The sequence below is a fragment of the Homo sapiens genome, chromosome 5 (assembly GCF_000001405.40).
Source record: "Homo sapiens chromosome 5, GRCh38.p14 Primary Assembly".
Taxonomy (NCBI): domain Eukaryota; kingdom Metazoa; phylum Chordata; class Mammalia; order Primates; family Hominidae; genus Homo; species Homo sapiens.
The window spans coordinates 155,583,811-155,598,517 of NC_000005.10; the positions used below are offsets into that span (position 1 = coordinate 155,583,811).

The 14,707-nt window shown below is 40.9% G+C and overlaps 1 annotated feature.

The window, feature by feature from the left end:
• Positions 386-1,585: an enhancer, noted in NCBI's record as "MED14-independent group 3 enhancer chr5:154963756-154964955 (GRCh37/hg19 assembly coordinates)". NCBI's record gives its function as "activates an origin of replication core promoter dependent on BRD2, BRD4, P300/CBP and CDK7 cofactors, and independent of MED14, by STARR-seq in HCT116 cells {active_cell/tissue: HCT116}" and the evidence as "EXISTENCE:reporter gene assay evidence [ECO:0000049][PMID:35650434]".

The following is a 14,707-nucleotide window of genomic DNA, read 5'->3' on the forward strand; positions in this document are numbered from 1 at the left end:
TTGGCTTCATTTCGCTTCACAGTGTGTTTCAATTCATTTTTATGGGCGGAGGCAGCCAGCTGCAATGGATAATCTGGCATCTACTTTAAATGTTGTCTCATGCCCACCTTACAACATTATGACAGTCAATTGACATCTTGGGACAGCAGTTTTCCTAAGATTAATGACAATAACAATTATTGTTTTTTTTTCTTATGCTAATTTATTAAACTTTTGTGAGGATCAAATTGTTAGGGGACATTGACTCTACTTAGTTAACTCACAGCAAAATGGTAAAAACCAGTGGTTACATCTGTTTGGTATTTTTCTACTAGAGTGTTAGTTCCCAGAGAGTAAGGGCTCTGTCTTTGCACAAGAAAACAGGAAAGATGAGTAAAAGGCATCCTAGATTCAGAGTCAGGGGGATTGGCTTCCAGTCCTGGTTTTACCACCATTTTACCTTGTGATGCTGGGTAAAGGACTCACTGCCTCCCACACTGACTGGTTTCCTCATCTGTAAAGTGAGGGGCATCGAATAAGATCATCTTTTGCATTTCCTTTTAACTCTGACAGCTTATGAATTTTGCACTTCTAGTGCTTAGCTCTGTGCCTCGTATATATGAGGGAATTAATAAATGTCTATTAAGCCAAATTTAGTTCATTACTATTTATTATTAGTTAAATGTCATTAACTTGTCACATCATTTAGGTTTCTGGAAAGATGACTTTCTTTATTATATTTAGGAAATGTGGCAGTGATCATTTATATTTAGTGGTTCTGATAATAGGATGGCTGATAACACCAGTAGTAGTACTAACGATAAACATCTATAGAGTGCTTATAATGTTCCAGGCACATACCAGGTATTTTTAAAATGAAATTCTCAACACAACCTTATGAGATAGGTGCAGGCATTAACCTTGTTTTACAGATAAGGAAATGCCATGTTAAATAACTGGACATGTTCACACATGTTCAAAATAACTGACCTTAACACAGTCAGTAGATGGTGGAGCTGGAAGTTGAACCCTGTTCAGTCTGTCTCCAAATAGGGTTTCCAGACTCAGCATTTAAAAATAGAGGATCACAAATTAAATATGAATTTCAGATAAACAGTGACTATTTTACTACAAGTATGTCCTATGTGATCATACTACCCTCATCTGCCACTCAGGGCAATACATTTTTTTTTTTTACCACTGGCTTATGGATTCAGCAGGCAAAATGAGTTCACCTAAAGCAAATTAAATGAAAGCAGAACTCTTGTTTCTCACAGGATACTTGGCATTCAATACTATAGGACTGGAAGCCAGGTAGAATTTAGCATTAGGCAGTAAAAAGATATAATATGAAAAGTTTCCATATTAGGAAAATGGCCCCACATGTTATGAAATTTCCTCTTACTCTGAATCTCTTACATCAAATAATTTTGTGTTTTACTTATCTCATGAATCTTCTCTCTCCTTCTCAGGGTTTCTGTTTGCTTTAAAAGATGAAACAACTTATAATTTTTTTAAAAAAATTTCAAGTGAAATCTGTAATTACGAACGGAGCCAGGATCTCTTGTGAATTGTTTGAGAATGTTGCTTCCCTGTGCTTGAGCTGAAATATCTCATACATCTGTTGCTATGACAATGGGTTCTCGTTAGTGGGTGAGGTAGACATTTGATCTGTACATTCACAGTGAGGGCTCATGTTCCAGCCTCTTTGTTACGATTCTGAAACTCATGAAATTGGAGAAGTTTCACCTTAATCGAAGAAATCGAATTTATAGCAGGAGGGAGTCAAGCCTGGGCCCCTGTCCACTTATTACCACTTTGACTCAGTTTTCTCCACTGTGAAATGGGGCTGACAACAGTGCCTACTGCATAGGTTTGTGTTAAGAGGATTCATGAAGGATGCAATTAGTGTTATTACTATTAGTTTTATCATTATTATTAAAATAGTCTATTCCAGGGAACCTTGGTCAAAGCTCATAAAGTTATATTTTTGTTGCCCAGTTAGCCCATCAAAGGGAGTGTGTCCGGAATTAGTGGGTTCTTGGTCTCACTGACTTCAAGAATGAAGCCGCGGACCCTCACGGTGAGTGTTAACAGCTCTTAAGGTGGCGCGTCTGGAGTTTGTTCCTTCTGATGTTCAGATGTGTTCGGAGTTTCTTCCTTCTGGTGGGTTCGTAGTCTCGCTGGCTCAGGAGTGAAGCTGCAGACCTTCGCGGTGAGTGTTACGGCTCTTAAGGCAGCGCCTCTGGAGTTGTTCTTCCTCCCGGTGGGCTCGTGGTCTCGCTGGCTTCAGGAGTGAAGCTGTAGACCTTCGCGGTGAGTGTTATAGCTCATAAAAGCAGTGTGGACCCAAAGAGTGAGCAGTAGCAAGATTTATTGCAAAGAGGGAAAGAACAAAGCTTCCACAGTGTGGAAGGGGACCCCAGCAGGTTGCCACTGCTGTCTCGGGCCTTCTGCTTTTATTCTCTTATCTGGCCCCACCCACATCCTGCTGATTGGTAGAGCCGAGTGGTCTGTTTTGACAGGGCGCTGATTGGTGCATTTACAATCCCTGAGCTAGACACAAAGGTTCTCCACTTCCCCACCAGATTAACTAGATACAGAGTGTGGACACAAAGGTTCTCCAAGGCCCCACCAGAGTAGCTAGATACAGAGTGTCGATTGGTGCATTCACAGACCCTGAGCTAGACACAGGGTGCTGATTGATGTATTTACAATCCCTGAGCTAGACATAAAGGTTCTCAAAGGTCCCACCAAATTAGCTAGATACAGAGTGTCAATTGGTGCATTCACAAACCCTGAGCTAGACACAGGGTGCTGATTGGTGTATTTACAATCCCTGAGCTAGACATAAAGGTTCTCCACATCCCCACCAGACTCAGGAGCCCAGCTGGCTTCACCCAGTGGATCCCGCACGGGGGCTGCAGGTGGAGCTGCCTGCCAGTCCCACACCGTGTGCCCGCACTCCTCAGCCCTTGGGTGGTCGATGGGACTGGGCGCCGTGGAGCAGGGGGCGGTGCTCGTTGGGGAGGCTTGGGCCGCACAGGAGCCCATGGAGTGGGTGGGAGGCTCAGGCATGGCGAGCTGCAGGTCCCGAGCCCTGCTCCGTGGGAAGGCAGCTAAGGCCGGTGAGAAATGGAGTGCAGCGCTGGTGGGCTGGCACTGCTGGGGGGCCCAGTACACCCTCCACAGCCGCTGGCCTGGGTGCTAAGCCCCTCATTGCCCGGGGCCGGCAGGGCCGGCCGGCTGCTCCGAGTGCGGGCCTGCCAAGCCCACGCCCACCTGGAACTCCAGCTGGCCCGCAAGCGCCGCGTGCAGCCCCAGTTCCTGCTCACGCCTCTCCCTCCACACCTCCCTGCAAGCTGAGGGAGCCGGCTCTGGCCTTGGCCATCCCAGAAAGGGGCTCCCACAGTGCAGCGGTGGGCTGAAGGGCTCCTCAAGTGCCGCCAAAGTGGGAGCTCAGGCAGAGGAGGCGCCGAGAGCGAGCGAGGGCTGTGAGGACTGCCAGCACGCTGTCACCTCTCAGGAGGAGGAAGAGTTAAAACTGAAAAGCAAAACCTAGAACCAGAAGATGAGGACTCTAGTACCTGTTTCCTGATCTGGGTGAGAGAATCAGGGCAACTTGTTTAACTACTTGGAAACTCATTGTCTTTTCTGTCAAATGGCAATAATAATTAATGTACTCCTCTCCTCCAAAGTTGGTGTAAAGATTAAATGCAATTATACACACACACACACATACACACACACAATGCTTTAAATGGAAAGAGTGCTGTAGAAATGGGAAGTGTGTTGTCTTATAAAAAGCTGACTGTTTGTTACAGGTGGTTCTGTTAAGCTGAGTTCCTCTATTGTGGCATTTATGTCCTCAGGGCAGGAGGTGGCCCTCCTCTGCCCTGAGACAGGCCTGGCTGTTTGCCAGGGCCAAGCACAGGCACCATATTTTGATTCGATGAGTGGTATAATTGTTTGGTTAATTTTGTGGTTGAAAAGCTCTGTTTTCTTTTAGGTCTGTACACTTGGATAAGCCTCTCTGTGATTCAGCTTCTTTAACTGTAAAGTGGGCTGGAAAAAACCAAAGCAACTTCCTTCGTGGAATTATTGTATTAATAAAAGTCGAATAAAATAACATACTTAAAGCATTTAGTACAATGACAGAAAACATTTAAAAGTGTTATATATTAATCTCTGTTAAAGTTCTTTCTGTATTTCCATCTGTTTCTTGTAGTACTATTCTAGGAGCCTCTACAACTTTGTTTACTTGTCTACTTTTTGAAGCTTTGGGAATCTGTGGCTCTAATTTGAGCAAGGCCACCAGCAAATGGTCTTTTCAGAGAACTCTGTATCTGCCCTCCAAATCTAGCCTGCAAAAACTAGGAATGACAATTCCACTTTTTAACATATAACTATATGCTTTATATCAAGGGCTAAATATTACACTAAAATTAAAATTAACTTTTGAGAAAAAAAAAAACATGATTCCTTAGCAGGCAGTGAGACAAAGACAGGAGTGTGTGCACAATTAGGAAGTGCTCTCATTTCTTAGATTTAACACAAATCAGGCCAGGCATGGTGGCTCATGCCTGTAATCCCGGCACTTTGGCAGGCTGAGGTGGGCAGATCCCTTGAGCCAGTAGTTTGAGACCAGCCTGGGCAACATGGCAAAACTCTGTTCTCCACAAAAGATACAAAAATTAGCCAGCCATAATGGCATGCTCCTTTAGTCACAGCTACTTGGGAGGCTGAGGTGGGAAGATTGCTTTAGTCTGGGAAGTTGAGGCTGCAGTGAGCCAAAATCGTGCCAAAACACTCCAGCCTGGGCAACAAAGCAAGATCCTGTCTCAAAAAATAAAAATAAAAGACAAATTATAATTTTTCCATTTTCCTTATTTGATTTTCTCTGTTTGAAATTAGGTTTGCTCCATTTGGGTTCAACCCTGGTGCCACAAACTTGTGGTTCTTTAGCTGCCAGCATTTGAGGGTGTTTAATTCAATTTGGCTAATTAACGACTCGGCTATAAAATCGAAGAGCTTTCTCTTTCACACTGTTAAGAGAAAAAGCTTCTGGTCTCTATTCAGCTCCTGGCTTCCTCTCTCTGAGTTAAATGGGACGATGGAAGTCAATTTAGCCCTGCCACACCCCACGCCCTTGTTTCCCGGCTCCCTTGGTGAGAACAGAGCACGGAGTGGGAGTGGTATCTTGGGGCAGAGGTTGGGTTTCCTCAGCTGCCACTCTGTTCCTTCCCCCATGTAGCAGTTTTCCTTGACTCACAATCTCCTGGAAGCATTCAAACCCGTTTTAAGTGCCCATCTGAGGCACACTGCAGGCATCAGACGAAGGTCTTAAGTAGGTCACATTTTAAAGTCACCGGTAACCCCAGCATAGTTCCATGACCAACACCCAAACAGTAGTTACTCATTAAAGTCCTGTCTCTGAGCAACAGACTACCTACATCAATTTCACTTTCACAGACTGGATTTTAAGTCATGTTCTTTTAAAATTTATGAGCATTCTTCCTCAGAAATTAACCAATAAAATCAGGTTTTTAACAGTTAAGGTAATGTTTCTCCTTACAGCTTTGCAGAAATTGGTTCTCTGGAGTCCATTTCTCTACTGGTTCAAGAGTCACTGTTTTACTGAGAAAGATCTAGATTATCATGAAGCTAAAATCCACTAACTACTGATAACCAAGACACTGGAACTTTCACATGTTTCTGGTGAGAGTATAAAATGGTACAACCACTTTGGAGAACTTTTTGACAGTTTTTAATAAAATTAACTCACATATAATCCAGCCATTCTACCCCTAGGTAGAGAAATAAAAAAAATACACCCAAAACTTGCACACTGATGTACAGCTTTAGTCATAATAGCCCCAGACTGGAAACAACCAAAGTGTCCATCACAAATTAATGGACAAACAAAATTCCATAAAATGGAGTATTACTTAGCAATAAAAGGGAGTAAATTACTGATCCACAGAACAACATAGATTAATCTCAAAGGCATTACATGAAATAAATCTGAAATAAAGGAGTACATACTGTATGATTCCACTGATGTGAAATCCTAGAACTGTCAAAACTAATCCATGAGGTAGGGATGCATGGGAGCGCTGACTGCAGAGGACCATGAGGGAACTTTATGGAATTATAGAAATGTTCTTTGCATTAATGGAGCTGGTGTTTACAAAGCTGTATACATGTGTCAAGATGCATCCAAATGTACACTTGAAATGGGTGCACTTTTTGTTTGCAAATTATACCTCAGTAAAATTGAAAAGGGAAAAAAGTCTTAAAAGATGCCATGAGCCCAGTAGAATACGTTTTGGAAGTGGCACTACTTTTCATACATTTCTTATCATGGTGAACAGGTTGAGTAAATGATAGGGCTGCAAAGCATAGATTCCAGCAATAAATTTAAATCAATACTGAGGAGTAAATATAGAAGGTAATCCATGACGTTTCATCGCATTGTGTTCCGATAACACAGATGTAGCTAGTTGTCAAATCTTTACAGAATAAGAGACTCCCTAGAAGTGTCCCAAATCTATCAGTCTCATCTTAGATAAAGCATATGTTATTGGTTCATAGAATTTGTGACACAGTGCCCAAAGCAAGCCCCTGGAAAGAACATTTTGTTTTCTAATACATCATTTTTGTTCTTATTAGGAACACCAAGTCTCTTTATTATACATATGAGCTAAATTATTTATCTTTGGTTAATTTGGGGAAGGGGATCTTAAATGATAAAGTTAAACTCAAGCAAAGAACTCTGTGCTGAATTGTAGTACTAATAGCAGTTTGGGGGAATTAGAAGCTCTGGGTTCAAATCCCAGGTATGTCTCTTACAAGCTATGTGACACAAGGCAAATTACTTAATTTCTCCAAGCCTTAGTTTACATACTTATAAAATGGGAACACAGCACACAGCCGTAGGGTCGAATAAGGATTAAATGAGATGATATTTATGATGCATGCAGTATTATTTGTGGCCTAGAGTAGGAAACTTACTTCTTTGCATCCAAATGGTTCGGAAACAATGGGGACTTATTAACAGGAAAACTATGAAGAGGAAAGACAGAGAGCAACAATGATTTTTTTTTTTCTGATTAAAGAAAGGCTCAGTAGATTTCAAATACACAAACAGCACATTTTCGTATAACTTTTCCCCTTAAAAACCAATATCTATGCTATCTGAGGAGAGACAGATCAAAAGTAAGGAACTTGGAAGGGCATTTGCCTGCTAATTTGCTCCCTGACAGACTTCTCTTGACAGAGATCAAAAGCTGAAAGGAAACCGCCTGCTAAAGCTTTTGATAGATAACGGTCCAGAGACTCTGTAGGATTCTCATTTTTTCTCTACATATAAGGCTTCCACCTGTCTGAAGTGGAAGTTTTCTTCTCAAGTGTGAAGATATGATCAAGCTTATATTAATTGCCAATAGACAAATCTAATGTCCAATAAAAAGTTACCTGTAAGTACTTATGGTTGTGTTTCTTTAAATCATGCCTCATATCAACGATTTACGTGGAGTAATATAATATTAATTGATGATTCTGTTCAGCACTTTTAGTGAGAAATTTTCCACCAAAAACTTAACCAAATAGGAAAGTCCACAACATTCTGTTTGTTCAATTCACGTTAGAGTGGCAGGTGGAAAGACCGTGAGGTCATACCTGACCTACCACAGTTCAACTAGTTGAAGTGCACTAACTGCAGGCCAAATATCCAGGAGAGGAATAAACCACCACCTGGGGATTAGCAGTCTTGTCAAAAGAAACTTGAATGTAAATGGACAGAAATCTGAACAGAAGGGCAATTTAGTTAGCTTCAGTATAGCCAGCTCAGCTGCTTGGAGTAGGGGTCAGCACACTTTTTCTGAAAGTGGCCAGGCAATAAATATTTTTAGCTTTGCAGGCTGCATCATCTCTTTTGCAACTACTTTACACTGCCATTTTTGAGAGAAAGCAGCCACAGACACTACATAAACAAATGTACACAGCTATGTTCCAATAAAACTTTATTTATGGACACTGAAATTTGAATTTCCTAGCATTTCCATATGTCACAAATTCTTTTGTTTTTTGTCCAACTATTTAAAAGTGTAAAAAACATTCTTTGCTTGCAGACCATACATAAATAGGTGGTTGACTCGATCTGGTTATACAAAAACAAGTGGTTGAGTTGAGAGCATCATTCTCATAAGAAGGTGTTTGTCCAAAGGGCTGTTTGTCTTTCCTTTCAGAACACCTTGTGCTATGGTTTATACTTCTCAACCTAGGTACGTATCTTTCAAATATGAACCCCTGATAGCAAATATTTATGCTTTTCCCTGGCCTTAATGTATTGCTTGTGTTGCCTCATTTACTTCACGTTACAACCCAAGAAGGTAGTACCATTATTAATCTCCATTTTCAGGTGACCAAACTAAGGTTCACAGATATTAAATAGCTTGACTACTGTTACACGGCTAGGAAGACACAGAGCTGGAATTTGAATTATGTCTCTTGCTGTCCAGAATTCTGTCTCTTTCTGAAGGTACTAGAGTGCGAATGGCTGACTCAGTGTGACCATTAACTGCTTTACGAAGCACAATTCACAGCCCTTGGCAGATGCATTGGTTTATCTCCATTCGCAAAGAAAGGTCACCTGCCTTTCCTGGCTGTTGCTTTTCACTGAAGCTCAGCAAGTCATTCAGAAACTCTCTGCTTAACCATAACATCAAGGGTAAAATTTCCAGGAGTCTTTGGCAATTTCAATACTGCAAAACCCTTTCAAAAAGCACTTGCCTTGTCAAGATGTGGCTGTTAGAAAAGAATTTCCCCATTCTCCCAGAGAAAAAAATCTGTAGAGTTTAATACAGTTTGTACACAGGCAGCTCTCACTTGGAGCTAATTTTTCTTCCAGAACTTTAAATTTGCAATAAGTACATGCAATTGGACTGGAGTGGCAGAAAGCTTATAAATCATATCACATCATTGTCTGGCTTTAAATCCCTCCAGGGGCTTTGTTCCACACTTAAAATGAAATCTCAGTTTCTTACAATAACCTGCCAGGTCCTACATAACCAAGCCATTGCTTGCTTGTCTAATGTCATTTATCCTACTCTCTCCCCCTGCTTTCTACTCTCCAGTCACACCAGCCAGTTTTCCTTTGCACATGCTGCGCCTCTGCACATGCTATGCCCTGTCCCTGGAACGCTTTTCCTCCAATCTTTACATATTGATTCCTTCTCATCTTTCAGTTCTCATCTCCTGTATCTACTCCTCAGAGTGGTCATTCCTAAATATTCATTTATTATCATGTCCTGCCTCACCAACCCCAGTCTCTGCCTAAACCCAATACCTTGTTTTATTTTCTTCATAGCACGTACCACTATTTGAAATAATATTATCCATTCATACATTTGTTTACTTGCTTGTTCATCACTTTCCACCCACATGCCAGATCCAAGAGAACGGAGCCCTTGGCTTGTCTTTTTCACCCCTCTATCTCTAGGGCCAACTGCAGGTACTAGGTAAGTGTTCATGGAATGAAAAATAAATGACTATTCTGGAGAATGAAAGCACCAGGCCTTACCTTCTTGTGACATTATTGACTAATTGTAGGCTTTGCTCAGGCCTTGGTTGCAGCAGACAGATGAGAAAGTGTCGAGGTCTTCTTGGTCAATGGATGGCAACTCAGATTTATTCTGCTTTCCTGTCGAAGTCCCAAACTCATTATTAATGTGCAACCAGTTGACAAGTTTTAGTTTCCTCAAATATGTCTATGGCAAAACATTGGACAATATATTGCACAATAAGCTATTGATTTATAAGCCCCCAGCAGACACACATATTATTCTGAATGCATAATTACATTGCAGGCAGCACATTTTTCACCTGAGATATGGCACATTTAGATAAAAACTAAGTCTGCTCAACTATGTGCCTTGTCTAAATCTGGATATGGAGAATGCATACAAAATTAGCATTCCATTAAAAATGAGTAAAATGTGAGACATGGCTAAAAAGAGGTGCCTGCATCATCTGGAGTGTCAGAAAGGCAAAGGCACAGTGTTGAAGCTCTGGCTTTCTTAGAGCATCAAGGTACTATGTCAAAACTATTGAAATCCTAAGCTTCAATTGACTTTTCAGGAGTAACAAGACACAAACTATTTGTTTATTGAGGGCCCCTAACGATCTAGTAATTAAGAGAAGAGTCTTTTAAGTCAGAGAGTACCAGGCTAATATCCAGTTCTGACATTTAATAGCTGTGTAACTTTGGTCAGATCCCTTAACCTCTCTTAAGACTCAGTTTGCTCAACTGCAAAAAGGGGACAGCAATAGTGTTCTACCTCCTAGAATTAAATAAGATAATGCATAGAAAGCATGCTACCAGCACAGAGTAAGTACTTAAGTCATATTGAATATCAATAACTTTGCACTTGGTATACCCTCAAAGTAGCTAAATTCACCTACTATAGCAATAAAAGAACATTCAAATGAAAGTTAGACCTGGCTTCAAGTCCTCTTTTTGTTGGTTCATATGTTTACTTGGGCAGATTACTTACCACCTGTGGCATTGAAGACAAAATTCATTTAGTCTATGAAATCAGTCTACAAACAAGTATTTCCTGAGCATCTATGCCTACAAAACCAAACGTTTTGTAAGATTACTCAGTCTATTGCCCCCTATGTACAGAGAAGAGTAATGCTCCACCCTGCTTTGTGCAGTGAGGTATATAAAGAGGCATAACATTTGTTCTTACTGTCAATGAAAGTATAATGCAGCTCAGAACATGGGTTCCAAGGGTCAAACACATGAAATAGTCACCATGATGAGAGAATATAGAAACAACAAATGCCCTGATGCACAATGATATGCTGTACATAGTCAGAAAGGAGGGAAACTGATGAAACCTGGACTAGTCTTACTTTTTGTAGGGAGGGCTTACTTTTTGTAGGCAGCAACACTTATGACTTCAAAGGTGTAGGATTTGGGTTGAAGGAGGAGAAAGTATATTACATTTGGGAAAAAGGGAATGTTATTAATACCATTAGCAAAACTTTGAAATGCATTTAGCCTCGAGAGTGACAGATAATACAGGATATGGCCAAGTCTTGAACAATGCAAATAATAATAATAGTAAGTATCATTTTTATTACAGTTCAACTCAATGCCTGCACCTATTGCAAATAAGATAAAAAACAAAATATTTGCCAGATACTCACTAAGCATTATCTTACTAGCATTATCTCATGTAATGCTTTCGACAACTAGATTCCTCAGGACTTGTTAGGTTGTTATTGGCAGACATTCAATACAAACTAGCTTAAGCATAAAGGGAAATGTATTGACTCTCATAACTGAGAAACACAGGAGAGCAGGTGACTTTGTGTCTAGCTGTATGAAAGTACTCAGACAAAGTCTTCACGACTCTGTCTTCATTTCTACCTCAGGCAAACTTTCTCTGTGAAGTGGGAAACATGACCTCCTGCAGTTCTAAGCTCACCTCCTACCAATGTAGCAGCCTTGGTGGAGAGAAATAGCCTTCATGCATCCCCAGGAGAAAGGTTCCAGGAAGGATTCTGATTGGCCCAAGTTGAGTCCCATCCCCATCCCTGAGTCAATCACTGAGGCCAGGGAAATGGGATACAATGATTGGTCAAATCTGAGTCACATGCCACCCATGTGAATGAGGGCAATTTGGGTGGGCCCATTTGGATCACACTAAGTTCTCCATAGAAAATGGGAACATTATTAGGACGACAGGATGAAAAAGAGGTTCTAAGAAGGCGAAAAACAACAGATGTCACAGCAGATGCCACGGCATTGATGTTGACAAATTGTTATTAAGCCTATTTTGCCAACGGGGAAAGTAAGGCTCAAAAAGATTAAATAGCCTTGTCCGAGATCACGTAGGTATAGAAGCAATGAAGTCAGAATCAAACCTAGGTCTCTCTGTCTCCAGAACCTGTGCTTGTAACCACTATACCCAGTTATGGCTACAGTACCCAGTGTTTACTTCGCAGAACTATGGTATCCCATTCTTAATATTTTAGGAACTTGAAATAGATTTCATTATGTACTAGACCTCTGTCATTATTTTTCACTTTTTTATCTGAACTTGTTTCTTATGTTCAGAGAATTTGCTAAACATAGAGCTCATCTCTCACTAGAGTTGCTGAAGATGCCAGAAAGTTCATTTTCTGGCTATGGCTACAACTAGAGCACAAACATATGAGCTAAGCTCTAACATACACTCAACGATACTTTGAATAGGAGCTAGTGAAGATGAATGAAGAGCCCAGTGAGACTCCTGTCTGGCAGTAGAGGGGATTGTAGCAAGGTTATGTTCTAAGGGCTCTAGGAACAATTGCTAGCAGTGGGCTCACTAGCCAGTGACTGGGGCTGCATGTCCAGTAAGCTGGAGCTCCCAGGGCTCAGTTGTGGCTCCAACGGGGACATTCACAGACCTGCTGTGTGGATTGGATTCTGCTCCTAAGTAGCTGCTGAGTCTGTTGTTGAGTGTTCCTAGTGATTCAGCAGCTACCCGTCATCCTTCTATTGAACAATTTTCTGCTTAAAACAGCCAGAGTTGATTTATCTTGCTGGTATATCAGAATCCTGTCTCACATACATCCAGAGAGAGTAGCTTGGCATCTTATTCTCTCCTCTGGTGTCAAAAGACTAGATCCTTCTTGAATGGAATTATTTATATTGTCTTAGTAGCTTCTTCTACCTCTCCTTTTTCCTCTTCTGTTCTCCTAGCGTTTTCTAGAGACCTTTGCTATTCTAGGATAAAGTTTTGTGTCTTCAGAGGCACTGCTGCTTTCCTCCCATCTGTTCTGGTCACTTCCATTTCTTGTGAGATCACCTGCTTTGTTTAATTTCTTCCCTGCTTCCCTGTCTTCTGGGAGTACCTATTCTCTTCCATGCTTCCAACCCTTTCATTCTAGGTTAAAATATCTTTTAAAAATTGTAATTAAAAATAACTTTGAATCTGACCTTCTCAAGTTCAAGTACAAGCCCACAGGTACAGCAAGAACAGAGCTGGCCGTGAACAACTTTATGACCTCAACCCCAAGCTCATTATAAAGAACATTCTTGGATCAGCAGCTGTCCTCCCTAGAGAACTGAAATGGATGCTCTTTTAGATAAAGGTTTGCTCCCAATAAATATGGAAGCTTTGGGGCCAAAATGGATGCTCTTTTAGATAAAGGTTTACTCCCAATAAATATGGAAGCTTTGGGGCCAAAGCCTCTGAGAGAAGCTTGCGGTGACCTGGCCAACTTTGTAATGGACTTGACCTGAAACAGTGTGATTATTTGCTATTTCCTGAAATAAGCACTACTCAGCTTTGGGGAGCTGCTTCAGGCAATGTAAGCCAGCCTGAGAAGGCAGGGCACAGCTGTTTTTAAGAGGAGATTTTGGGGTGCATCAGTGCCTCACCCTCACCACTGAGTATATACCCTTTAGCTTGGATGATCTAAAAACCAAGCTCAGTTGGGACGCTTTAGCACAATTTAATACTTTAAAAAAAAAAGAAGATGAAAAGTTGTCCAGAAGGGAATATTGAGCTCAAGGCATTTAAAGAAATTATTCTTTGTGGATGCAGATCACTATCTCAGCCTCCACAATTCATTTAATGAAATGAGATTAGCATTTCAATATAATACTTCTTGTTTTCTTCTCCTGCTTCACTTCTACTCTATTTTCTCTGAACAAAAAGGAGCGAACAAGGTGCAGAAAATAGAAAACTTAAACAGTAACCTTATGCTATTGAATGGAGAGAAGCATTCTCTAGTTCTTGCAAATGAGGCCTGCAGACATTATCCAGACAATTAGCTTCCTCTTCCTGCTGTTTGCAATGGAATAAAAGATTCTGCAGGCTCACAACCAACAGAAGGACCTAACATTGCAAGCCAGACATCTGAGATATGCACCTTTTCCAGAAACAGTGAGGACCTAGCATGGATCATGCACAGTGCTTGATACTGGGATTACAAAGTGGAATACATTTATCTCTGACTTGAAGGACCTCCCAGTGAAGAAAACAGGAAGTACATTTGGGATTAATTTAATAGTAATTTTAATAACGTCCACTTATTGAGCACTCATCATATGCAAGTGACTTTGCTAAATAATTTGCATCATCTCATTTAATACTGTCAAAAGACCTATAGTACATAACCTATTATTATCTCCATCTTAAAGCTAAAAAAACTGAGGCCCTCAAAAGATAAGACTCATGTCTCCAGGCATGCAGCTGGTGTATTAAGGAGTCCGATTTCTAATCTAGGTAGGTCTAAGAGCAAAGTCTGGATCCTGTCTGGTAAACTCCTGTTGGATATGTAAAACTGGATTTGGCTCTATAGATTAATGAAAGGTGGTTGTCTTCTGTCTGTGGGTTTATATTCTGGTAGAGAGGAAGAAAGTAAGAATGTAAAAAGCTGTAACACACAGTAAAACTTAGTGTCTTATGATTGTGCACAGTAACGAGGTATAAAACTTCAAAGAGAGAGAGAATTACTGAGAAAATGACATCTGAAATGTCTTGAGTGATAGAGATGGTTCTTCAGACAGAGACAGGTGTTTGACAACACCAAAAATTCAGATTCCTACCTAGAAGTGACTTTAAAGCAAGCCAGATTATAAAATGTTCACCACTCTTTCTCCCCACTTCCTGAGGTCATAGTGACATTGTACATCGTGCTGTTAAAACTAGGAGACTTAAGGATA